Source organism: Homo sapiens, chromosome 9 (genome assembly GCF_000001405.40).
Source record: "Homo sapiens chromosome 9, GRCh38.p14 Primary Assembly".
Lineage (NCBI taxonomy): Eukaryota > Metazoa > Chordata > Mammalia > Primates > Hominidae > Homo > Homo sapiens.
In genome coordinates, this window is record NC_000009.12 from 37,422,042 (window position 1) to 37,446,691 (window position 24,650).

At 50.3% G+C, this 24,650-nt stretch overlaps 2 protein-coding genes and 1 pseudogene across 12 annotated transcripts in view, besides 7 other annotated features; 2 read left to right on the forward strand and 1 right to left on the reverse strand.

Annotated features, from left to right (window-relative positions):
- Positions 1 to 626: an enhancer, noted in NCBI's record as "H3K27ac-H3K4me1 hESC enhancer chr9:37422039-37422664 (GRCh37/hg19 assembly coordinates)". NCBI's record gives its function as "activates a minimal SCP1, AML or CMV promoter by ChIP-STARR-seq in naive H9 embryonic stem cells {active_cell/tissue: H9 hESC(naive)}" and the evidence as "EXISTENCE:reporter gene assay evidence [ECO:0000049][PMID:30033119]".
- GRHPR (glyoxylate and hydroxypyruvate reductase) lies at positions 394 to 17,453 on the forward strand. 10 transcript variants are annotated; one of them, XR_002956828.2, is made up of 11 exons: positions 394 to 764; positions 2,804 to 2,934; positions 3,881 to 3,953; positions 4,497 to 4,613; positions 6,443 to 6,531; positions 7,691 to 7,795; positions 8,470 to 8,605; positions 9,967 to 10,097; positions 12,797 to 12,876; positions 15,370 to 15,510; positions 15,689 to 15,741. XR_002956828.2 is itself a non-coding variant. In XM_024447716.2 (10 exons), the coding sequence occupies exons 1-10, from the start codon at positions 409 to 411 to the stop codon at positions 15,439 to 15,441; spliced, it is 1,290 nt and encodes a 429-aa protein (XP_024303484.1). In that variant the 5' UTR covers positions 394 to 408; the 3' UTR covers positions 15,442 to 15,741. The 10 variants fall into 10 exon arrangements, 8 of the variants coding, with proteins under 8 accessions (XP_024303484.1, XP_016870809.1, XP_016870810.1 ...); XM_024447716.2 differs by having other exon boundaries at positions 15,370 to 15,741; XR_007061375.1 differs by lacking the exon at positions 12,797 to 12,876 and having other exon boundaries at positions 655 to 792; positions 15,689 to 17,453.
- Positions 467 to 616: a silencer, noted in NCBI's record as "silent region_19904". NCBI's record gives its function as "represses an Ori minimal core promoter by ATAC-STARR-seq in GM12878 lymphoblastoid cells {active_cell/tissue: GM12878}" and the evidence as "EXISTENCE:reporter gene assay evidence [ECO:0000049][PMID:35858748]".
- Positions 627 to 1,252: an enhancer, noted in NCBI's record as "H3K27ac-H3K4me1 hESC enhancer chr9:37422665-37423290 (GRCh37/hg19 assembly coordinates)". NCBI's record gives its function as "activates a minimal SCP1, AML or CMV promoter by ChIP-STARR-seq in naive H9 embryonic stem cells {active_cell/tissue: H9 hESC(naive)}" and the evidence as "EXISTENCE:reporter gene assay evidence [ECO:0000049][PMID:30033119]".
- Positions 2,927 to 3,867: an enhancer, noted in NCBI's record as "H3K27ac-H3K4me1 hESC enhancer chr9:37424965-37425905 (GRCh37/hg19 assembly coordinates)". NCBI's record gives its function as "activates a minimal SCP1, AML or CMV promoter by ChIP-STARR-seq in primed H9 embryonic stem cells {active_cell/tissue: H9 hESC(primed)}" and the evidence as "EXISTENCE:reporter gene assay evidence [ECO:0000049][PMID:30033119]".
- Positions 6,000 to 6,500: an enhancer, noted in NCBI's record as "H3K4me1 hESC enhancer chr9:37428038-37428538 (GRCh37/hg19 assembly coordinates)". NCBI's record gives its function as "activates a minimal SCP1, AML or CMV promoter by ChIP-STARR-seq in primed H9 embryonic stem cells {active_cell/tissue: H9 hESC(primed)}" and the evidence as "EXISTENCE:reporter gene assay evidence [ECO:0000049][PMID:30033119]".
- Positions 6,501 to 7,001: an enhancer, noted in NCBI's record as "H3K4me1 hESC enhancer chr9:37428539-37429039 (GRCh37/hg19 assembly coordinates)". NCBI's record gives its function as "activates a minimal SCP1, AML or CMV promoter by ChIP-STARR-seq in primed H9 embryonic stem cells {active_cell/tissue: H9 hESC(primed)}" and the evidence as "EXISTENCE:reporter gene assay evidence [ECO:0000049][PMID:30033119]".
- On the forward strand, positions 12,060 to 12,745 carry CHCHD4P3 (coiled-coil-helix-coiled-coil-helix domain containing 4 pseudogene 3; annotated as a pseudogene).
- Positions 12,361 to 12,999: an enhancer, noted in NCBI's record as "NANOG-H3K27ac-H3K4me1 hESC enhancer chr9:37434399-37435037 (GRCh37/hg19 assembly coordinates)". NCBI's record gives its function as "activates a minimal SCP1, AML or CMV promoter by ChIP-STARR-seq in primed H9 embryonic stem cells {active_cell/tissue: H9 hESC(primed)}" and the evidence as "EXISTENCE:reporter gene assay evidence [ECO:0000049][PMID:30033119]".
- The window catches only part of ZBTB5 (zinc finger and BTB domain containing 5), a 27,349-nt gene continuing 18,759 nt past the window's right edge, over positions 16,061 to 24,650 (reverse strand). For both annotated transcript variants that reach the window (NM_014872.3, XM_005251634.3), the window contains exon 2: positions 16,061 to 20,514. In NM_014872.3, coding sequence (NP_055687.1) covers positions 18,477 to 20,510 — 2,034 coding nt within the window. In that variant the 5' untranslated portion in view covers positions 20,511 to 20,514 and the 3' untranslated portion in view covers positions 16,061 to 18,476. The remainder of the gene's footprint in view (positions 20,515 to 24,650) is intronic.

Genomic DNA, 24,650 nt, shown 5'->3' on the forward strand with positions numbered 1-24,650 from the left:
TGCTGCATAAAGAATTACTCCAAAATTGAACGGCTTAGAGCAACAGCAGTCAGTGCATTATCATCTCTTATGGTTCCGGGGTTGACTGGGCTCAGCCAGTGATTCTCCTAAAGGCTCTTTCTTGCAGTTTTAGCTGTAGTCAGGTGGGAGTTGGCCTGGAGTCACCCGAAGGCTTCCTCACTCATACCTCTGGTCATTGACGGTGGCTGTGAGCCGGGCCCCTGGCTGTGCTGTTGGCCTGAACACCTACACGTGACCTCTCTGTGTGTCCTGGACTTCCTCACAGCCTGGAACCTGGGTTTCTACCCTGGGCCAACCCAAGAGACAGAAAAAGTGGGGGCTTTCAGTCTCTTAAGGCCTGAGCCTGTGGAAACAGGACCCTGAGCGTGTAGAAAAAGCAGGGCTCCCATGAGGCCTTGGACGGGATACTGCCCCCTCTCCCCCGGGGCCCTGATTCCCCAGTGGCACGAGGCGCACCCCCCCACACACACACAAGGACACTGTGTAGGGTCACTGTTACTGTCACTCCCCGAGCACGCACAGTCACCGCTCAGCCGCAACCCGGCGCTCCCTCTCGCGAAGCCACACCCCCTGCGCACGCCGCGCGCGACGTCTCTCCCGCCCACTCCAGCCTGGCCCCGCCCCGGCCCAGCTACATTCCCGGGCCAGCTTCTGTACTGCCAGGTCCGGGTCGGCGGCTGCACTGCGGATGAGACCGGTGCGACTCATGAAGGTGTTCGTCACCCGCAGGATACCCGCCGAGGGTAGGGTCGCGCTCGCCCGGGCGGCAGAGTAAGAGCCTCGCGCGCCGTGGAGGAGGGAGCAGGGCGGTCCCAGGGACCGGAGAGCCGGGCGGGGCGTTTGGGCCTTGTGGCCGGCTGGGGCAGGCTTGGAGTTTTGGGGAGTCTCGGAGAAAGTTCTCTGGGGCCCAGTTCTCCTCTTAAGACGACGCTGGGACCTGCAGTTCCGGCTTTGGAGAGGGGAGATTGCCCCTGAGGCAAGGTCCAGGCTAATTCTCCACGCTCCCACAGGACATGTGGGGTCAGGGACATGGCGGTCACTGACCAGGCCCTTGGACGTTTGGCAGGGGGCTTTGATGACTCTTCTTCTTTATATTTACTTATCTTTTTTTTTTTTTTTTTGAGACAGTCTCACTCTGCTGCACAGGCTGGAGTGCAGTGGCTCGATCGATCGTGGCTTACTGCAGCCTCGACTTCTTGGGCCCAATCAGTTCTCCCACCTGAGCCTCCCGAGTAGCTGGGACTACAGGCGCAAACAATCACTACCGGCTAATTTTCTGATTTTTTTTTTGTAGAGATGGGGGTCTCACTCTGTTGCTCAGGCTGGTCTCAAATTCCTGGGCTCAAGCAATCCTCTTGCCTCAGCCTCCCAAAGTGTTGGGATTACAGGTGTTAGTCACCATGACTGGCCTGAGGACCCTTTAATTTTTAAGACAGGGTCTCACTCTCATCCAGGCTGGAGTGCAGTGGCACCATTATACCTCACTGCAGCCTCAACCTCCTGGACTCAAGAGATACTTCCACCTCAGCCTCCCAAGTAGCTGGGACTACTACAGGCATGCACTACCATGCCTGGCTAATTTTTTATTTTTTTCAAAGACGAGGGTCTCACTGTGTTGCCCAGGCTGGTCCTGAACTCCTGTACGAAGGGATCCTCCCACCTCAGCCTCCCAAAGTGCTGGGATTACAGGCATGAACCACTGCACCTGGCCCACCCTTGCTAAATGGAACCCTTTTTGTGGGCCAACCTTGCCAGGTGCTTCATATACATAAACTTTTAATCCTGGTAGCACTGTGAAGTCAGTATTATAATTCCCATTGCACAGATTAAAAACTGGAGGCTGGACTTAGGGTTAAGTTTCTTCCCAAAGCCATGCAGCTCCCAGGTGGAGGAGCTGGGGCTTGTACTCAGAAGTGTCTGACTGCTGTCTGATCACTGCATTTGATCAGGTTTGTGTTTCCAATGTTAGATAGGAAGAGGATGCAATCCAGCCTCAGCAGCCAGTTCTAGGGGCATATGAGATTTTCAAATTTTGTTCACTGCAACAAAACCTTTGCCAAGGACCCACTTTGTACTGAGCAGGAGAAGGTGGAAGGCAGCAACCGCGCCCATGGTAACAGTAGCTCACGCTGTACCCTGCTCATGGGGAGGTGGATGAAAGGTGGTCAGTGCCCTGGGCTCAGTCAGGAGGTGCAAGTAGCTATCCTGTGTCCTGCCACATAGAGGCTCCACACGTGCTGACTGTACTGAATTCCATGGCAAGGGCCAGGAGGCACCGTGCATCACTGGGACAAATATCTGGTTGCTGTGAGCTGCCGTGGAAGCGTTGGGTGGCCTTGACCTTATCTTTCCTGGCCCAGTCCAACTATGAGAGTTTTCTATTTCATGGACTCCACGGACAGGAAGAGATGCAACAGGCCATTGAATCCAGGCCCCCCACCTGAGGCACACCCTGCCCCCCACGGGCCTTCCCTGCAGTTGGCCGCCTGCTTGGCCGCCCAGCCCCTGTGAATGTGGGAAAGCTCTTCTCTGTGCTGACCTGAGAGCTGTCCCCATGCCTTCCCCCTTGCAGCTTAGGCTCTGCTGGGGGGCCCCTCAGCCCTTCACCTGTCACCTGCTGTCTCGGGACAGTTCTGAGACCACCCCTGCCTGACCCTGCCTCCCCTCAGCCAGCCCCGGGCAGCCTGAGGCCAGGGCCATCAGAGGCCAGGATTCCCAGCTGGGAGGGGCGGGGACAGGTGTGCGGCTCCTGCTTCTCCTGAGGGCCTCCCTTTCCCCGCAGCTGTGAGGTGGAGCAGTGGGACTCGGATGAGCCCATCCCTGCCAAGGAGCTAGAGCGAGGTGTGGCGGGGGCCCACGGCCTGCTCTGCCTCCTCTCCGACCACGTGGACAAGAGGATCCTGGATGCTGCAGGTGCACACTGGGTGGGCAGGGGACTTGAGGGTGGCTTGGCCCTGTGGGCCCCTCAGCCTGTGCTGCTGGCTCCTGGCTGCTCTGCAGTGCTGTCTGGGTTCTGAGGGCGTTTCCTGCGATACCAGGCCCGAGCGGGCAGATAGCTTGCTCTGGCACAGGCACTGCCCCTCCCTCCTGCTGTGAACCCCTTGGCGGGGGACCCTAGGAGGGCAAAGACCGCGGTGTGGAGACTGTGGGTGTGGGGAAGTGCATCCAAGGCCCTGGGTTCTCCAGCCCTGCCACAACCTTGCTCTGTGACCTCCAGCAAGACCCTGCCCCTTCTGGGCGTGTGCGTAGTATGAGGGAGGACCTAGCTCAGTGCCAAGCCCCAGCAGGATGTCTTTCCTCAACCGCAGCCACGGGTCTCAGCCCATGGAAGAATAAACCTCCCCCTGTGAGGCTGTTGTGACAGTTTTGAGAAAAGGTTCAGACTCAGAGGCTGCCAGATGGGAAGGGACCCTTGTGAGTCAGTGCTGAGCCGCCCCACATCCTGGCCTTGGCCTGGAAGCTTTGTGGTGTCCTGCTTGCAGGAGAGGGTAGAGAGGGTCACGTCCCAGCCACCTTCTTGGCACTCTCAGAGGTGTCCATGGGGGAGGCCCCAGCGTGGCTAAAGAAGACCGGAGGCCTCGCTGGGTGGACAGTCCAGTGGGTAAGAGCGGGGCCTTGGTGGCAGAGGCCCTGAGGTGAACCCGGCTCTGCCTGTGACTGAGCCAGGCCACTTAACCTCCCTGAACTGCAGTGTCTGAGGCTGTCAAAGGGGATTATTCAGAGTTTTAACTGAAGAACAGAGATGTCAGCCTCTTATTCTAAGAAAACAATAATAAGCGGTGTCCCCATGATAGTCCCCAGTGCTGTGGCTTTGAGTTCCTCGAGGAAAGATACTAACAATGCACTTTCTGCACAACAGGGGCCAATCTCAAAGTCATCAGCACCATGTCTGTGGGCATCGACCACTTGGCTTTGGATGAAATCAAGAAGCGGTAACTGCAGCTTGGGATCTGGAGGGGGCCTAGAGAGAGGGGTGGCTATGAGAGAAAGAAGAGCTGTTGATTTGTTTTTACTGCATATCCCTCGGCCATTCAGGGAGAATGTGAGGTGGCTGATGATAGAATCTGTCCACATGTGCACAGGTCAGTTACAATAAACCCCAGCAGTCAGAAACAGTGGGTAACTTCTGTGTAGGTGGCACCCTTTCACATTCATTATCTTTTTTGATCCCCACAACAATACCTTGAAGTAGCAAAGGCAGGTGTTATTCTTTCTGTTTCAGATGAGGAAATTCAGAAAGGTTAAGTTACTTGTTCAGTCCCTGAACCCTGATCTTCCATCTTCATATCCTTCCAAAGTGGGAGATAATCTAAATAGGAATGAGGACTGCCCGTTTTTGAGTGCTCATTTATAGTTCTGAGCTTCCTGGCAGGCAGATCAAAGAGGGAGCAAAGTAACTCCATGGAAATGTCCCAGCAGTAGACATTGGTAAATATGGTTGAGGCTGATGTTACCACCAGATGTCTGATTCGTAGTGGGATCCGAGTTGGCTACACCCCAGATGTCCTGACAGATACCACCGCCGAACTCGCAGTCTCCCTGCTACTTACCACCTGCCGCCGGTTGCCGGAGGCCATCGAGGAAGTGAAGAAGTAAGTGAACGCAGACCAGGTGCGGTGGCTCACGGCTGTAATCCCAGCACTTTGGGAGGCCAAAGTGAGCGGATCATGAGGTTAGGAGTTCGAGACCAGTCTGGCCAACATAGTGAAACCCCGTCTCTAGTAAAAATACAAAAAAAATTAGCTGGGTGTGGTGGTGGGTCCCTGTAATCCCAGCTACTTGGGAGGCTGAGGCAGGAGAATCATGTGAACCCAGGAGACAGAGGTTGCAGTGAGCTGAGATCACACCATTGCACTCCAGCCCAGGTGACGGTGTGAGACTCTGTCTCAAAAAAAAAAAGAAAAATAAGTGAACGCCTGGCAGGAACGTTGGCTCTGCTCAGCACTGGATCCTGATCACTGTGCCAGTCCAGCCCACGCATAGTCCCTGACCCCAGGTGTGCCCCATTGAGTGAGGACTCAGCTAAAATAAAGCACAAAGCAGAGCTGCAATAAGGGCAGAAAGGGAAGTGGTGAGAGAAGAGGATGAGGGAGGACAAACAAGTTCTGCTGGTGGGTGAGGGCTGGCAGGGAGAGTGTGGATCAGGGAGGGCTTCACAGAATAAGTAGCAGGTGGGCGTCCGCTTGAGTCCTGAAAGCTGCAGGTCCACCATCCCTTAGATCCCAAAATCTAAAAAGCTCGGACAGCTGAAAGTTCTTTCATACTAACAGGAGACTATTTAAGGCTTTTATTTCTCCCATTTAATGTGACTTTCCTAAGTTTTGCTGCAGATGTAACACTTTTAAAACAGGCTGCTGCCCAGACACTGCAGAGGGTGATGTGTGGAATCTACCACGTGCGCCATGCTGCCTTTCTAAAGGCCAAACAGTTTTAAAATCTAGCCTGAAGGTTTCAGATCAGGGATTTCGGCCTGTATATCAAGAGTTAGAGTTGGCCGGGCACGGTGGCTCACACCTGTAATCCCAGCACTTTGGGAGGCCGAGGCGGGCAGATTGTTTGAGCCTCAGGAGTTGGAGAACAGCTTGGGCAATGTGGCAAAAGTCTGTCTCTACAAAAAATACAAAAATTAGGCAGGCGTGGTGTTACACGCCTGTAGTCCCAACTACTCGGGAGGCTGAGGTGGGAGGATTGCTTGAACCCAGGAGGCAGAGGCTGCAGTGAACCGAGATCATGTCACTGTACTCCAGTCTGGGCGACACAGCAAGACCCTGTCTCCAAAAAAAAAAAAAAAAAAAGTTGGGGGAAGCATTCCATGTGCAGATGGAGGGACTGGCCCGAGTCAAGGTGGGAGGCGTGCAAACGCAGGCTCTCACAGTGCGTGGCCAGCAGCGTGGGCCCCGGCACGGGGCATGGAGCAGAGTAGACAGTGCTGAGTCCTGCTCACTGTCCTGTCTGGGGAGTCATCACATCTACTGGAGGTGGCTCAGGGCAGGCTCCATCTCTTGCCCAGGGCAGCAGGGTGGGCCCTGTGGCTGTACTCTTTGTTGCTGCCCTAAAGTGCCAAGAGAACTTGTTTTGGAATCATAAATCCTGAGTTTGCAGCCTGTTGCTCTCAACTCTTCCCTGGTTGTGTGACCTCAGGCAAGTCACCCTTTCTGGTTTGTTTTCCCATCTGCAAAACAGGATGAGAGCCAGTAAGGCCCCTTCCCGCCCTCAAGTTCTATGTCTCTGGTGGCTTTAAAGGTGGAGTCGTTTCTGCTGCTCATCTGCAGTGCCGAGTGGCAGTGCCTCATCCCACTCTCAGTCCGTGACCTGGAGGGTGGGTTTATACCTTGGACCACAGTCAGAGGTGCCGGGTTCTCAGCGGCCCCCATCTTGGTCCAAGGCTGGGCCTCTCACCTGCCCCTCTCTCTCCCCTCAGTGGTGGCTGGACCTCGTGGAAGCCCCTCTGGCTGTGTGGCTATGGACTCACGCAGAGCACTGTCGGCATCATCGGGCTGGGGCGCATAGGTGAGGCTCCCACCGGCCCGCTTGCCCGCCCCGGCTCTCACAGCGTGGTTTGCATCCCTGGCACCACGTGTCTGAAGGCTGAGAAGACCCACATGCTGTCAGGGCACTTTGCTTGCAGTAGAGATATCTCTAATGAGGGATACAGCTTTGTAAAACACAGGCAAATACATAAATAAACCAAAGCAGGATTCCTTAAGAACTCACCAGGTGATAAAAGCAAGTTGCCTAAGGGTCAGGGGGCTTCATGATTCCGGCTCCATAAAGAACAGATGAAGACTACAAATGTGTTGGGGCCGTTAGGAGTGGTTACCGTGAGAGAGCCCATTCCCCCGACACCTACTCCGGCTTGCGTTCTGGAAGGTATGTGACTCACAAAGCCCTAACTCGGGCCGGAGGGCTCAGTGGGCAGAGTTGATCTGCAGTTCTGCAGATGAGGCAGAGACACTTTTCTTCCAGTGGCCCTTATTTGGAGAAGCCTGGCAGAAGGGCGTGAGCCTAGCCAAGCAGCTATCTATTGGTGGTTCTCTGTCATCCTGCCTGGTGCAGGGGTGCGGGTGAGGGTGGAGAGTGTGGAGAACCTGTCTAGCCAACGAACAGCCCTGCCTCTCACTAGAGAGTTGCTTGGAGGAACCCAACAGCTTTGGGGCACGTTCTGAGCCTGAAAATCCAACTGTACAAATCTGTCTCAGCAGCAGCTTACATGAAAATTGTAAGTTTGGGGTGAGCTGGCAGTTTGGCAGTGCCACCAAAAAGTCAAATGGGGTCTGAGACTGCATTCACAGAAGCAGAGGGTCCAGGACAAAGGAGGGGACTGCTTGACCAGGTGTCTCCCTTGTGAAAACCTCTCCAGTTCTCAGAGGTTAGGAAAAACCTGAGTGGCTTTCCAGATGGCTTGGACCATGTGAGGACAGCATCAGCCAGTCACAGCCTCAGGGGAGCTGAGGTGCTGTCTCCAGATCCCTGGGGCAGTGTGGGCTGGCTGGGGGCTAGTTACAGTGGGGCAGCCAGCCCCCCACCCGCTTTGGAGGAGACAGGAGCAGGCAACTCGGGCTGTGCTGATGAAAAGGGTCTGCCCTGAGGGCCGCTGTTCCAGAAATGCTGGGTGGTGTCCCTACCCTTTGCGGGACTGGGAACGAGACATGGACTCTCCTTGCTCTAGGCCAGGCCATTGCTCGGCGTCTGAAACCATTCGGTGTCCAGAGATTTCTGTACACAGGGCGCCAGCCCAGGCCTGAGGAAGCAGCAGAATTCCAGGCAGAGTTTGGTAAGTGAAGCCTTGATTTCCACAGGAGCCTATCTGTGCCCAGTTGAGAGGCTGTATTTTCTCTCAATGGTGGCATTTTCAGGCAGAGGGCAGGAGCTCCAGGCATGTCCAGGGGCTGCTGTCTGGTAGATGTTTAATCTACCTGCCCCTGGACACTGGCCCACTCAGGGAGCACAGGGACTTACCCAGGTCCTCTCCGAGCCAGCAGAGCAGTCCAGGGCTCCCGTCTTTCAGAGTCCTTTGTTACCATTCCCCATTGTGGGCGGAGCAGCGGGGATGGTGGTGGGTGTGAGGAAGGGCTGGGCACTTTCACTGTCTTTTCCTTCATAAACTGGCAAGCACTACCCTAGCCTTTGTGTGCGCCCCTTAGTCCAGGCGGATCCAGCACCTGGCGGGTCCACAGCCTGGTGAGCAGATGGCAGGCTGGATCTCAAGCATTCCCCACGCCCCTGGGCACTTTGGGCCCTGAAGGTAGTTAAAGCCAGAGTGGTCCAGATCCCACTGTGTGTGATTTGACTTTGTGCACTCATGAGAGTTGTCCAGGTAGAGACTCGGCCTTCAGGAAGCATCTTGGGAGTTTCTGTTAGGGAGTCGGGAGCAAGGGGCTGGTCTCCCGCCATCTGGTTGTCCCTAGCCTGGGACTCAGTGCCTGATGGAGTCCTGCCCTCCCTCAGTGTCTACCCCTGAGCTGGCTGCCCAATCTGATTTCATCGTCGTGGCCTGCTCCTTAACACCTGCAACCGAGGGACTCTGCAACAAGGACTTCTTCCAGAAGATGAAGGAAACAGCTGTGTTCATCAACATCAGCAGGTATCCTAGGGCCACCTTACCCAGCAAGCCTGGAGAGGAGCCATCCCCACTGCTGCCATCTGGAGATTTTCTTCCCCGTGGGTTGTTGGTGAGACCCCAGGCTGAGCTTGCTGGTTTCCATAAACCAAACAACCAACTCAGAAATTCGTGGGAATACACGAGACCTCCGTACAGGGAAGAAGAGCCGTCAGAGTGGGCCTGGCCTGTCTGCTTCTCAGCAGTGGCCCCCACCCGGCGGGGCCTGGCACACAGCAGCGTGGCTTCAGGGAGTGTTCCCAGGGAGCCTCTGCAGGCCCATTATCCTCCACCACAAAGGGCTGGACTTGAGGATCTGAAGGGCCCTCTGGAGGCCGCCTCCCACACTGCTGAGCCTGGCTTTGTCTGGCTGTGGTTCAGTGATACTTTGAACCTTATGCTCCTGGGCGGACAGACCCTAAAACTCACGTGGTCGTAGCTCCTCACACTGTCCCTAGGGGTGCCTTCAGGCCACTGGGCATGTATGGAGGTCAGACCTTCCTTCTCTGCCACTCCAAGCCCTTCCTAGCTGGTGCCCCTTGAGCCTGTTTACATCAGTTTAGGGGAAGGGGGATTGGGTGAGGTCATCCTGAGGACTCGTCCACCCCAAAGGTACCTGTAATTACCAACATTTAGCTACAAAACAGGTGACCTGGGAATGGAAGAGTGAAACATGCAGGACCACAGGGCTCGCACTGCTGGCTGGCAGCAGTCACAGCTGCCGTGTACTGGGTGCCTGCATGTACCCAGGACAGCCCAGGACCGTGTATTACTCATTAGTGCACAAGTATTACTTAGTGCACAATATACAGTCTCTAGAAGATGACTTCTTGCCTTCAGTCGCCGCTCCCTTTGATGGCTGTGGTTAGGGGTGTGCTCGTTCCTCTGCCCTGGTTTAGACAGGTACCTGATAGCACACTGTGGTGCTTCTCAGTGGGGGTCTGGGGGTCAACCAGATCAGAAACACTTGGATGGGGCCTAACACAGATGCCCTTCTGGGCCCTGTTCATGCAGTAGAGCATGTAAGAAAGCTTTAATCCTCCCAACATGCCTGGGAGTTAGGTGGTATTCTCCTTATCTCACAGAGTAGATAATTTGAGACACAGATAATTCGAGGCACAGAGAATTTGAGACACTTGCCCAAGGTCACACAGCTAGAAGGAGGCAGGGCTGGAGTTCTCTGAGTATATAAGACTTACAGACATACTGTAAGTATACCTAAGACTTACTGCTTTAAAAGTCAGTGCCAAGTGAGTGGAAAAATTCATTCTGTAGGTTGTTCTGCCTCAAAGGTGGCCTGGGCGGAGGGATCTTCGGGGTACCCATGTCACCACTGTCATTCCCAGGGGCGACGTCGTAAACCAGGACGACCTGTACCAGGCCTTGGCCAGTGGTAAGATTGCAGCTGCTGGACTGGATGTGACGAGCCCAGAACCACTGCCTACAAACCACCCTCTCCTGACCCTGAAGAACTGTGGTAAGAACTGCACTTTCTGATGCAAACTCCCTGCTGCCCTGCAGGACCAGTGTTTTTGAGGGGGTCCCAAGGGGCCGGGTGTGGAGCTAGTGTGAGCAGGTGTTGAACCCAAAGGGACACACCAGGGATCGTAAATGTTTATGTTGTCAGTGACATGGGTGTATGACAGGAGCAGTCCTCTTGCGCATGCTCTGCTGGGTCTCTGTCCCTAAAGGAACAGAATGTAGGTGTGAGTGGATTTGTTTAAAAAAAAAGAGTGGGCCAGGCGTGGTGGCTCATGCCTGTAATCCCAGCACTTTGGGAGGCTGAGGTGGGTGGATCACGAGGTCAGGGGTTCGAGACCAACCTGGCCGATATGGTGAAACCCCATCTCTACTAAAAATACAAAAATTAGCCAGGTATGGTGGTGCATGCCTATAGTCCCAGCTGTTTGGGAGGCTGAGGCAGAAGAATCGCTTGAACCCAGGAGGCACAGGTTGCAGTAGGCCGAGATTGTGCCACTGCACTCCAGCCTGGGTGGCAGAGTGAGACTCCATCTCCAAAACAACAACAACAACAAAGTGGGCTGACTACATGTCTCCATGTGTTACACCACAGTGACTCGTGTAAAACCTGTTACTATAAATTGCTATTACCAGTTTAGCTGTGAAAAATTAAAAGTGTAATGACAATGCCAATATAACTCGTGCCAGTTTTTCAAGCTGTTGTTTCACAACAAAGCCCCCTTCTCTCTTCTGCTTTGTGGGGCTGGGGCCAGGCCTCTGCACACCCCATTTCTGCTGTGCCAGCTGCACTGGCAGGCCTTGTCAGCGTGGGTGTGGAAGGGCCTGCTCCCTCCTGCCCTCCCTTCCTGTCTTTGGGGGAGTGGCAGCAGCACTTCTTCATCTAGCAGCACCAGTTCCTTCCCATAGTGGCTGGGGAATCCAGTTTGCAGTTTTTCCAACACTTGGTGAACCAGCCCCATTGAGCCCTGCTCAGAGACAAGAGCAACAGCCAGTCAGTGCCCGTGCCACCGAAGTCTGAGTTGCAGCACCAGAAGTGCCTCTGGCAGTTGCTACCTCTGTGCTACCACAGTGCAGTGGTTCTCACATTTTTTTTTTTTTTTTTTTTTTTGAGACAGAGTCTCGCTCTGTCGCCCAGGCTGGAGTGCAGTGGTGCAATCTGAACTCACTGCAACCCCTGCCTCCTGGGTTCAAGCGATTCTCCTGCCTCAGCTTCCCGAGTAGCTGGGATTACAGGCGTGTACCACCAGGCCCAGCCAATTTTTGTATTTTTAGTAGAGATGGGGTTTGTCCATGTTGGCCAGGCTGGTCTCGAATTCCTGACCTCAGATGGTCCACCTGCCTCTGCCTCCCAAAGTGCTGGGATTACAGGCATGAGTGTCCGGCCAATTCTCATACTTTTGAGTTCGTCAGAATCACCTGGAGGAGTGACTGATCAAACACAGGTTGCTAGCCCCATCCCGAGAGTTTCTATTTCAGCAGGTCTGGGGTGGGGTCTGACAGAGTGTGCTCCTCACGGCTCCCAGATGCCACTGATGCTGCTGGTCCAGGGACCACACTTTGTGGTTTGGGTTTTTGTTACCTGCTCAGTGAGTTAACAACTTGATGCGTAGTTAATGATTCTTTATATTAAGATCTGTTCAGGTAGCTGGTGGAGTTTATGCCTCCAGACTAAGAGTGATCAGGGCCTTAGGTTGTCCGGGCCAGTCTCTGCCCTTAATTTGGATTCTGGAATGGAAACCTAAACAAAAGGTCTTCAGCTGCCTTCCCCAGTGAATGCTCCCATTATTGCAGCCCTTGGAAACTCTCCCGTCCCTCCCCCACCCCAGCCTGCAAGGAGCACTGGGTGTGATGTCAGGGCTGTCGCCCACAGCCAGGAAAACTGCCCTCCCACCCCCACCCTAGGTCCTGGAATTCAGCTCACGGCCTGGGGACTGCTTCAAAAGGCAGGTCTTGGTCTGAGGAGAGGGCAGTCAGGGCATGAAGCTGCAGCCGCCACCGCTGCTTCTACAAAATCTAAGCACTGGGCTGCAGCCATGTCCTACTGCCAGCAGGAAGGGAAGGATGCAATCATTTGTGATGTAAAAAGACCATGCAGCTCCAAGCAACACAGCTGATGACCCCAGTGATCCCTATGGGGGGAGCACGGATTGAGGCTGCCAAATGGAGACATTAACTGGAACTGCCTGTGCCTTGGGGGAAGGGCCAGCGGCCCCTGTGGGGAACAATTCAAGCTGGACTTTTCCTGCTTCCACTATAGTATGGAGAATGTCAAGGGGTCAGACTGTGTAGACCAATTGGGGCCATGCAGGAATGCATGCAGAAATACCCAGATCTTTGTCCCCAAGAAGGTGAGGCAGAGGTAGAGGAAAAGCCCGCAGAACATGTAGAAGTAGCAGCTCCCACTGAGGCCACTGCAACCAAAGAGGAGGAGGGGTCAAGTTAATGAAGGCCATAGGACTCCAGTCCTTCCACCCCTTCAGAGTGACACGGACCTTTTGCAAAATGCCATTTAGTCACCCTCCAACAAAGTGTCTTTCCCTCTGTTGTCCTGTAAACTGTAATGTACGAAATAACATATTTTGATGATCGGGGTCTTGGCCTCTTGACATATACGCTAAAAAAATGGGGGTTGTTTTATATGTGTCCTGTGTAAACCTGTCGGCAAATATAGCCACCACTTTTGAATTCTCCTAGATGGCCCTGAATTTTGCCACTTTGAAATAATGTGCTACTCAATCTCAGCAACCAAAAACCATTATCCAGGAATGTTTCTTGTGAGTGAGCGGATTTATTCTGATTCATTATATGTCTGAAACGTTGGGGTGGGGCTGATTAGGGTGGCTCACGCCTATAATCCCAGCACTTTAGGAGGCCAAGGCGGGAGGATCACCTAAGACCAAGAGTTCGAATCTAGCCTGGGCAACATAGTGAAACCCCATCCCTATAAAAAATAAAAAATTAGCCATGTGTAATGGTATGTACCTCTAGTCCTAGCTGCTCAGGAGGCTGAAGTGGGAGGATCACTTGAGCCTAGGAGGTTGAGGCTGTAGTAAGCTGACTATGCCATGGCACTCCAGCCTGGGCAACAAAGCAAGACCCTGTCTCAAAAACTCTTCTCTACTAGAAGAGGCCAAATAGTCAGATGCAAATTTCTCCAAACCTATCCTGACCTTGAGTATGTAAAGGGGTACTATACTTCATTCCTGACATATTTTGGTTTCCATGTTGGCATTCAGCTCCGGGTTTTCTATTTGGATGGTGAAAATTTGGACCCTGCCATTCACAGTCCCTTCCTAAGTGTAGGGAAAGGCTGGTTTTTGCTGTTCATTGTTATTCTGAAAGCTCTGGTTTGGGGTCCATGTTCATGCTGGCTCTCAGTTTGATCAGATGCAATGTTCTTGAGAGGAGGGGACCTAATTGTTACCAGAGAGGAGAAGAAACTCTGTGAATTAAGTACTGAATTATGGCTGGGCGCAGTGGCTCACACCTGTAATCGCAGCCCTTTGGGAGGCTAAGACAGGAGAATCACTTGAGGCCAGGAGTTCAAGACCAGCCTGGGCAACAAAGACCCTATTACAATAATGATAAAATTTAAAGAAGAAAATGTACTCAATTAAAAGGAAACATGATTTCTACCTGGAAAAAACCCAAAAGCAGTTTTATGGGGTTTATTTGGTAAAGATGATGTCTCGCTATGTGGTCCAGGCTGGCCTCGAACTCTTGGGCTCAAGCGAACCTTGCATCTCGGCATCTGGAGTAGGTGGGACTACAGGAATATGCCACTGCACCCAGCTGACGGTTCTTTGGGGGCAAGTAAGTTCACTTGCTCTGGGGTGGGATCAGAGATAACTGTGCTGTTCAGCATTTCATTTTGGAGTTATTTCTGTAGATCAGAAACCTTGTGGTCATGTGGCATCATTTTCAAGGGCACATGGTACAGGTGGCCAGTGCTAAACTCCTATGCGTTCACCATTTTTTTGTTTGAGACAGAGTCTCCCTCTGTCATCCAGGCTAGAGTGCAATGGTGCAATCTCAGCTTATTGCAACCTCTGCCTCCCAGGCCCAAACAATCCTTCTGCCTCAACCTCCCAAGTAGCGGGGACTATAGGTGTGGGCCACTACGCCTGGCTAAATTTTTGTATTTTTTGTAGAGACGGGGTTTTGCCATGTTGCCCAGGCTGGTCTCAAACTCCTCAGCTCAAGTTATCTGCCTGCCTTGGCCTCTCAAAGTGCTGGGATTACAGGCATGAGCCACTGCGCCCAGCCCTAGAATACAAATCTTTCATCACATTGTGACTGGGTTTTAGTAGCCTGGAGGCCCTTCACTCTGTTAGTCTGAACCTCAGCTCTGGGGGAGTGTCAAGCTTAGTGAAGGTGGGAGAGAAGGCAAAGCATGGAACCATGAGGTAGTCTCTCTTTATTCTTCTTACCGGCAAACCCAAGCCATGAAAACAGCCCAGCTGAAGGCTGCTGAACCACCCTTCTTATCTCCCTCTCTCTCTCTCTCTCCTTTCCAGTGATTCTGCCCCACATTGGCAGTGCCACCCACAGAACCCGCAACACCATGTCCTTGTTGGCAGCTAACAACTTGCTGGCTGGCCTGAGAGGGGAGCCGATGCCTAGTGAACTCAAGCTGTAGCCAAACAGTAGAGATGGAGGGCCGGGAAGCAAACCGTGCCCTGGTATTGTCAGACACACCCAGGCTTGATTTGGATCCACAGGCAGAGCCAAGGGAAGGTGTGATTCTCTGAGGAAAGAGTGATTCTGATATATGTACTTGTCACATTGGTGTTGGACACATTTGCGCCAAAAGTATGGTAATTCTATTATTAAATAATTCTCTGAGAGACCGTCTTGGCCTGTAAATGGGGAAGCTAACAAGTGGATATGGCTGGGCATGGTGACGCACCCCTATAGTCCCAGCAACTCAGGAGGCTGAGCGGGAAGGATCCTTTGAGGCCAGTTCAAGGCTGCAGTGTGCTATAACCACTCTTTTTAAATCGCCACTACACTTAACCTGGGCAATGTAGCAAGATACCGTTTCCTGCAGTGTGCTATGATCACTCTTTAAATCACCACTACACTTAACCTGGGCAATGTAGCAAGACACCGTTTCAAAAAAAACTTTAAAAATACAAAGAGCATGTTTCAAAGTCACAGCATCCAATGATCTGCCTGGCTCTGCTTCCCACCCCAGCCCTCAGCCCTGGGCATTTTCCTTATTGGAACGTGTCCAAACCACCTTACCCCTCATCTTCTCTGCCCAGATTCCTTCACTTGTCCCTCACCAAGGACGGGACAAACAGAACCCAGTTGTGACCATGGCACTTGAATCTTGATACCTAGACCATCAGGAAAATTAAGGAGCACTTCCAGAAAAGGAGTTAACTGGAAGAAATGAGAACTAGGTAAGGACGTAACTCTTATTTTGGTCAGAACGATTAGAGGTAGGTGGGTTTAATTTTAAAATTAGTTTCAGCACCTACACATATTGTTCCCTTTGCCCATTCTGTCCCCCCAGCCCCTCCCTGCCCCCAGGTGGATTTTTTTTTTTTTTAATCACCACCTTACCCACTTCTCTCCAAGGTCAGGCCACAGCACTGCCATTGCCAATGCCTTGCTCTGTGCTCAAGGAATCAGCTTCCAGCTCTTCCCAGCAGCCAAGCCAAACTGGCAGATGGAGTTTCCAACTTGGGAGGCAGGTCCAGGGAGCAGCACAAGATTACGCAGGCCCTCAGAGAGCAACTGGGTAGACTGAAAAGCAAAATCTCATGCATGTGCGTAGCTCAAAGACAGAAAAGGCGGGGGAAGGCAGAAGGGAATGATTTGAGAGGAACGACCAATTAACTGTTAATAGAAGGTTTGGTTTAAAACAAAGTACTAGTCAAAGAAGGGCTGGCAAAGAGATATTACCCTCTTTGGTTTCAACCTTAATAACGTAAAGAAAAAGAACACATATTTAGAGGCATGAATATGACAAATTTTTTATTTCAAAAATCTCAAGTTGTAACCAGCATAGCACCACTGACATGGATGCCTTGATAGAACTCCTTGATAGAACTTTATGATCTGTTCACCAGAAAAGATTCTACATGATCACGCCAGACTATAATTAAGGCTAACCAATCAAAATTCAGGTACCCAAAACCAGTTATAATCCAGGTAGAAACTACAGATCATAGGAACCCTGGGACTGGTTTTCCAGGGAACCCTGGAATTATTTTTTAAGTGCTACAGCATGTACAAGGACACTGGCCCACAAGCTTGCTTCTCACACGTAGAAACTGACAGACTAAGAGGTAGATGAGAGATTCCAGGTTCCATCTAGCAGTGGAGAGGCAGGGCTCCAGCATGTATCAGAGATAAGCCCCAAAAGCAAAGTCCACTTATGCTTCAGCAGAGGTAAGCGGGCAGGCTCCTGGCACCACCTCCTCCAAATGGAAGGGAAGGAGGGCTGCACCGCTCTGCCTGTGTCACTGGCTCCTCTCCCTGGGTCCAGGCAGGGCCTCTCATTTTCTCCAGGCTAACCCACTGTGTCCCAAGGTTAATCTCACAAGACACTGGTCCCTACATCATGTAAAGGGTGGATGGGGAGCCTCCTAACACCATGTCAACATGACTGCTAACAAGGAGCCACACACACAACTGAATTTCACAGGACCTCATATCCTCCAATGGGCTCTTTCCCACATCTACTCGAAAGGAATCGTGGGTTTCCCTTTGGGCTTTTCTTCCTGGGAATCAGTCCATGGGAGATGCCAAGCGCCCCTGGAACATGAAATTATCCACACATGTGTAACTGCACACTCTAGATTAACAGGAGAGAAAACACGCTCATTTTTGTTTCCAGCTACACATACTTAGCTTTCTAAACACAAAAACTGAATAATTTATCTGATTTATGAATGATGGTTTGGTATGTCTAAGAAAGCTATATAAAACATAAAATGAACTCATGTTCATGCATGAATTAAACTGACTTCATGAGTTCTAGGGAGACGCATTAACCTGTGCTGTTCCCCTGGACGCACACTTGGCCTCATACAGGTGCCACTAACAGCCCTGATGGCAGTGTCAGAGGACAGCAAGGTGAGGCTGGGGAAGTGAGGCTGTAGGGCCCAGAGAGGCCCTAGTGCCTCCAACAGTCTCAGATGCTACTTGATTACTTCTATGCTATGGGCTGCTAACTCTTACATAGCCTAGAAAATATTTACCCATGAACACTACCATGTTTGGATTTCAAACAACTTTAAACATTTGGTATCAGATTGGGGGAGCAACAAATAATAAAATTTAGGGTCTGTACTGTTAAAAGTATAGTATATAACAGTAATAAAACCTGTGTGGGGCATTTTTGGTTAATCTGTCGTCGAAAACGGTAATCTAAACCTGGGAGAGTTGCTATATGGGGAGGGGAGAGTGAAGAAATGGAGAACAGGCTTGTCCTCGGGTAGGATGTGTCAGCCTAGACTGGCCCTCAACATCTGGACGGAGCAACAGGTAAATGTGCCATGGAAGACCCCACAAAACATGACTCCACATCAGCAGAACAAAGACAAACACAAGTCTTTTCTGACTTCCTAACATGGAACTGTAACATCTGTAATACAAGTTGGTTAAAATACTGCTCAAACAGCACATAGGGAAACAATACCTTGTCACTCTCTACAAGTACACACTCCATTTACAATTTGGTTTTTAAACCAGAAAAAACTGTTAAAACATCTATCCAACAGTGATGTATTCAAAAGTATATACATCTAATAGTCCAAGAGAATGCTCACTCTGGACCCAGTGTCAGCACCAAAGTGCAGTGTTTATGACTGCAAATCAGGTAAAAATAAAAAATACAGTACTTTGAGGCCTAGGACTAGCTCATGATACACTTTAAAGCATTTGTGGCAGACAGGTGTGTCCTCAAAGGCCTTCCTTTAAGACAGGCACCAAATCACCACTGGTTACACATAAGTGCATTTTGCATCACTATACAGGGATATAATACTCCCATCAGAAGGTATAGGAAATTTAAATGCTACACAGTTTTACAAAAATTGCTAAAAAATTTTTTTTGCACTTCAATTTTTAAATTTTTAAATGTGCCACTTTTAATATCAATTACAAACTACTTTCTGACTGCATTACTCAACCCCAAGGAAGCACCTGGTTTCAGGGATTGCATCCCTTTCCCAAGACGTGCACTTCACTCAGAAATGCAGCAGCACAAATACTACATGTTAGTTCTCCGGTTATTAGTTGCTAAACTGTTTAAGAGCCACTGGGCAGCTGGAAGCCTCGAACCCAAAGGCATTAACTGCTTACCAAAAGAAATTCAGTCTGACAACTGGCCTCAGCGTTGTCTTGTAAGGACAAACAGCTAGAGCAAAGTGCTGGGAAGATTGCTGCTCTGCCAGCGCAGGCAGGTAGTCTTTGAGTGCTTATACAGGTGGCTGGACTGACTAAACCTCTTGCCACACTTCAGGCAGGCGTAAGGCTTTTCACCTGTGTGAACACGGATGTGCTTCTTGCAATCTGTCAAAGTCAGAAAAGTTTTGCAGCAGATTTTGCAGGCATACTTGCGAGCTCCCTCTACAACCAAAACATTGTGCTCTGATAAGGCCTTCTTGCACTTTGACAGAACATCTGCAGATGCCCTGGTCAACTGTGGAGGGCCAGGCTGGGAAGGATGGCCATTTTCAAATGAGGACGTAGCTCCATTCATCATTAGCTGAGAACTGGTAGAGTTTTCTGGGATCTGTGAGCTCCTGACGGAAGTTACAACTGGCATTTTGGGAGCTATGCGGCGGTAGTAAGGAAAGTTACTGGCTCCTCCCCTTGGGGAACCTATCATTACCCTGGAGAAGGAGGAGTGGAGGCCCAAACCAGACCTGGAAAAGTCCATCCCAAACTGTTCTCCTCCTTGGTAGCCTGAAGTCTGCACACACGGCAGGCCCATCACCTCCTGCATAGGCCTGACGAAGTGGGAGTCTGCAGGTTCACTAAATGGGTTCTCTACATGGGAGCCAGGGGCAGAGGAGGGCCCACCTGCAGGCCCAGCCTCTGGACTCAACAAATAGGGGGCCTCACTCTCCAGCCTGCAGTCACTAGTGGTGTTTGGAATATTATCATCATTGTTCTGATTTGCAGTAAAGTTATTTCCTCTGCTCTTGTTAAGAAAATTCGAAATACTAAAAGTGGACTTATGCTCTAGGTTATTTGTGACTTCCAAAATATGGATATCACCTACCCTGTCTGTGCTAGACTGGGGATCTGAAAAACTCCGATCACTGCTTTCAGGGCTGAGGTCTATCTTCTCGGCACTGACCACAACTCCTTCCACTTCCACAGACTCGCTGCCTTCTGCTTGTGAGGTCACATCGCTCACTTCATCCTGAGGCTCAGGTGAGCTCAGGGGCTCAGATTTAACCACCACTCTCATGTGCTCCTTCTCACCAAGGCCAACCTCAGGGTTTTCACACTGAAAACTACTTTTCTCAGGTGCAGCTTCCTGATCAAAACTAGTCTCAACCTGAGTTGCACGAGAGGCCATGGACAACTGTGCCATGTTGCCAGCACTGTTATCAGACTGGCTGGGCACCTGGGCATCTTCTTGAGTGCCAAAAGACTGATCAAACATGATCGCACTATCTTCCTGGTTATCAGTCATTCCATCAGCTTTAGGATTATCCACAATTTTCAGAGAATCTGGTGAAAAGAACTCCTCCCGAGAATGAACCCCTGAAGGCCCATTCTCCGGTGTAACATCTGAAATGGCAGACTCATCTATGGAGGGTCGGAGGCGCTGCCTGGCCCGCTCCTCTGCAGACTGCTTGCGCTTATGAAGGCGTCTCATGGGGAAGGGCGTGCGCTGATCCAGGTTACTGCGCATGGAAGAGCTCATGGGGGCTGGCTGCTCCTCGCCATTCTGGCTGGAATTGAGGGCTGAGCTCACGATGCTTAGTCCCAGCTGCTGTAGCATAAAGGAGCGCTGCATGCGGGCGCTCTGCTCCTGAACGCGCTCACTGGGGGGAGACATGGGCAGCGTCCTTGTCGTTAAGTAATGTTTACATGCCTTAACAACAGAGTTCAAATGCAGGTGAGAGGCTGCCAATAAGACATCCATTACATTGCTCTCCCCCAGCATGAGGGTGGAGGTATACATCATGTCAATCAGTGCAGCAAAGGCCTCTGCTGTCACCACCTCGCTATCCAGCTGGATCATGTTCATGGTCTGATCTCCTTCTGCCACTGAGAACAGGGCTCGGAAATGCGTGCTGCATGCTGCCAGCACGGAGCGGTGGGCTTTAAAGTGTCTATTCCCCACTACAATGACACAATCACAGAGCTGGCCATGAAGTCTCTGGTAGTTCAGCTGCTGGAAGATTTGTTCAAAGTGACCAGGAAAATCCATGATCCTACAGAAAAACAAAGAAAGAAAATGTTAAGACCTAGAAAAGCTTCAAAGTCAGAACACAAAGGGTATGATGAAAAGAGTGGAATGGATGGCCAAGCTTGGACCTTTGAAGCCCGTGATATCTCTGATAATGGGCACATACACTAAGAGCTTGTCATATAAGAAGCAAATGGCAATTCAGCCATCAGCCCAGGAGGCATGCACACATGTGGGCCTAGCTACCGACAGGCTCCCCTTTACTCTTCATATGAGCCATGTATAACACTAAGGGTCTAAATTAGTAAAGACCAGTGTGTGAGTGATGGCATATCTATCCCACAGAAGTTTGTTAGAATTCTGCATTCCCTAAGGATGAGGAATGAATACCAAGAAATTCCAAAGTCTTAGGAACCCTAAATAAGTGAAAAGGGCAAATCAATATTAGTGTGGAAGATTTCCAGTTATAGATGGTAGCAGATTGCACACACGCATTTGCCCCGTGCTTTTTCCTGAAACCCCACTAAAATGACACGAAGCCCGGCATGGAGGCTCATGCCTGTAATCCCAGCACTTTGGGAGGCTGAGACGGGCAGATCACCTGAGGTCAGGAGTTCAAGACGAGCCTGACCAACATGATGAAACCCTGTCTCTACTAAAAATACAAAAAATTAGCCAGGCATGGTGGTGCATGCTTGTAATCCCAGGTACTCGGGAGGCTGAGGAGGCGGAGGTTGCAGTGAGCTGAGATCACACCACTGCACTCCCAGCCTGGGCGACAGAGTGAGACTTCATCTCAAAGGAAAAAAAAAAAAAACACTAAAGTTTTTGTTTAAACTTTAAAGGTGTAAACCCACAAGGAAAAAGAGAATGAGAAGGCCTTCAATAGCATTTTGGAAGCTGGGGAGAGGTAAATGAGTGCTAACTGACTCAGCACACCCCAAAAGCGAAAATCCTAAACTGGGCAGCGGATAAAACAACCTAACATATATAAATCTCATTCCCAAAGGCCAAGGAACTGGTTGCCCTTGCCAGGGGAAATGGAATGAAGGTGTGGCTAAGGCAGGAGGCCTGGCTGAAAATCTATCCAATTAAAAAAAACAAAAACAAAAAAACACCAGGATGTGGTGGCGCATGCCTGTAATCCTATAGCACTTTTGGAGGCTGAGGTGGGAGGATTGCCTGAGCTTAGGAGTTTGAGACAAGCCTGGGCAACAAGGTGAAACCCTGTCTCTACCAAAAATACAAAAAATTAGCCGGGCATGCTGGTATGTGCCTTCAGCTACTCAGGAGGCTGAAGGGGGAGGATCACTTGAGCCTGGGAGGCAGAGGCTGCAGTGAGCAGAGATCGCACTGCTGCACTCCAACCTGGGTGACAGAGTGAAACCTGTCTCAAAAAAAAATTAGCCGAGCATGGTGGCGTGCACCTGTGGTCCCAGCTACTTGGGAGGCTGAGGTGGGAGGATCACTTGAGCCTGGGAAGTCAAGGCTTCTGTGAACTGTCACTGGGCCACTGCACTCCAGCCTAAGCAACAGAGCAAGGCCCTGTCTCAGAAAATAAAATAAAAATAAGTGAATGAATAAGAGAAGGAATTAATCAGGTCCAATATCTTGACTACAGAAAGAGAAAAGGAAGAATACAGAGGGTGAAAATGATGTAAGAAATGGTTTTTTGTTTTGTTTTTGAGACAGAGTTTCGCTCTGTTCCCCCAGGCTGGAGTACAGTGGCGCAATGTCGGCTCACTGCAACCTCCGCCTCCCGGGTTCAAGTGATTCTCCTGCCTCAGCCTCCTGACGAGCTGGGATTATAGGTGCACGCCACCACACCCGGCTAATTTTTGTATTTTTAGTAGAGACAGGGGTTTTACCTTGTTGGTCAGGCTGGTTTTGAACTCCTGACCTCAGGTGATCCGCCCACCCTGGCATCCCAAAGTGCTGGGATTACAGGCATGAGCCACTGCGCCCGGCCAAGAAATGGTATTTTTTAAATTTTGAGAACTGAAGAAATTTGCTTATTAAGACTAAAAAGGCCCAACAAGTACTCAAAATATGAAGATACAAATCCCCACACTAGGCTGACATCAGGAATAAAATTGGCATTCGTCTTTGCCACAGCAGCACTAAAAGCTAGAAGATGACAGTTCCTTCAAAATTATCCAAGAAAATGATTTCCAACTTAGAATGCCACACCCAGCTAAACTATTAATCAATTAGGATAAACTAAGGCATTTTCAGATAAGAACCCAAAGGTTTATCCTTTCTCAGGAGGCGACTAAGATTGTAGGAAACAGGAGACCCACCAGAGAAGACAGGCAAAGGGAATCCCAAGGATGATGATGAAGCTCCAGATGACAACTAGGCAGCAGGCCTGGAGAGCAAAAGCAGTCAGACTGGAGCAGGAAGGACTCCAAGGAGTGGGTCTCCAAGGGGGGTGGGAAAAAAAGGAATGGATAGATAACCTGATGTGACTGGGAGTGCTTGTAATTTACCAGTCCTATCCAAGTGTGCAGATAGGTCATTAAAAAAAACAAGAAGTTTTTAAATGGATCAATGATTAACTCCAGGAAAAAAAAAAAAGGTTGTTTACTCACAGGACACAATATGTAGTTCATTCGTAGACAATATTTACACAGTCATAAAATATGTACACTAAACCGAATGTGAGATATTGGGAGGATGAGAGAAAGCAACTTTGCATGGGGGAAGAGGGTAGAGGAGATGAGGTATAATAAAGTTAAATCTTCACTTTCCTTATTAATCTAGAAATACAGTCTGAAATAGGTTATCTCAAAAAATAGTAATTTGGCATGTTATTTAGAAGTATAGAAGTTAACCAACTTGGTGGTTCACGCCTGTAATCCCAGCGCTTTGGGAGACCGAGGTAGGTGGGTCCCTTGAGCCCCCAGGAGTTCAAGACCAGCCTGGGCAACATGGGGCAAAACCCCATCTCTTACTAAAAATACAAAAACAATTAGCCAGGCATGGTGGTATGTGCCTGCAGTCCCAGCTACTTGGGAGGCTGAGGGGGATCACTTGAGCCCGGAGTCAGAACTTGCAGTGAGCAGAGATCACGTCACTGCACTCTAATCTGGGAGACAGAGTGAGACCCTGTCAAAAAAAAAAAAAGAAAAAAGAAATATGGAAGTCAATAGTGGAAGAAACAGCTGAAATAATTGAAAGTGGTTGCCTCTGAGGAGTGGGTAATTGATGGGGAAAAGGATGGGACAGGGGACTGCTGTTTTGTTGTTGTTTTTGTTTCTTTTTACCTATAAGCCTTATGGAACTATAGGCTGGGTGTGGTAGCTCATGGCTGTAATCCTAACCCTTTGGGAGACTGAGGCGGGCAGATTGTTTGAGCTCAGGAGTTCGAGACCACCTTAGGCAACATGGCAAAACCCCATCTCAACTAAAAATGCAAAAAGTAGCCGGCCATGGTGGCGAGTGCCTGCCATGTAGTCCCAGTGTACTTGGGAGGCTAAGGTGGGAAGACTGCTTCAGCCCAGGGGGCAGAGGTTATAGAGAGCAAAGATCGCTGCACTGCACTGCAACCTGGGCGACAGAGCAAGTCTCTGTCTCAAATAAATAAATACATAAAAATGTATACACATATATTTATAAAATTAAATTTAAAAAAGGTAGATCTATGATATTCTAAAGGGATATACCTGAGATCTTTGCAAATCTCCAAAATTCACAAATACCATCATGGCATTTCATAAGAAGGCAGCATGGGTGCCAAGTGGCTCCCCAGGCCCAACCACTTGCTCTGATGTCCCAGCCATACAGCCTTACAGGCCAAAGTTGGTCAGGATCCTGGGAAATAACTGAAATGGCAAACTAAGTCCACAAAATTCAAGGGTCTACTGTGGCGACTGAGACTATTATGCTATTCAGCTATACTTGGAAAGTTAACTATCGGAAAAGCAAATGCCTCAAAGCAGCAGACACATGTTGGCCATATTGTTTTGCCTATGTTTGTTGAGCTTTGATGAACTTTCAACAACAAAATAGATCACACATACTTTCCCACTGAGGTGTCTGTTCTTTGCTATCATGTATGAGAGATCAGATCTCCAAAGATGCAGCCACTGCCACATCCCTTCTTGCTTTACCAAGCTTTCCGGCAGAAAGCAGAGAGCCAGCAGTGGCAGGCAGCAGCAC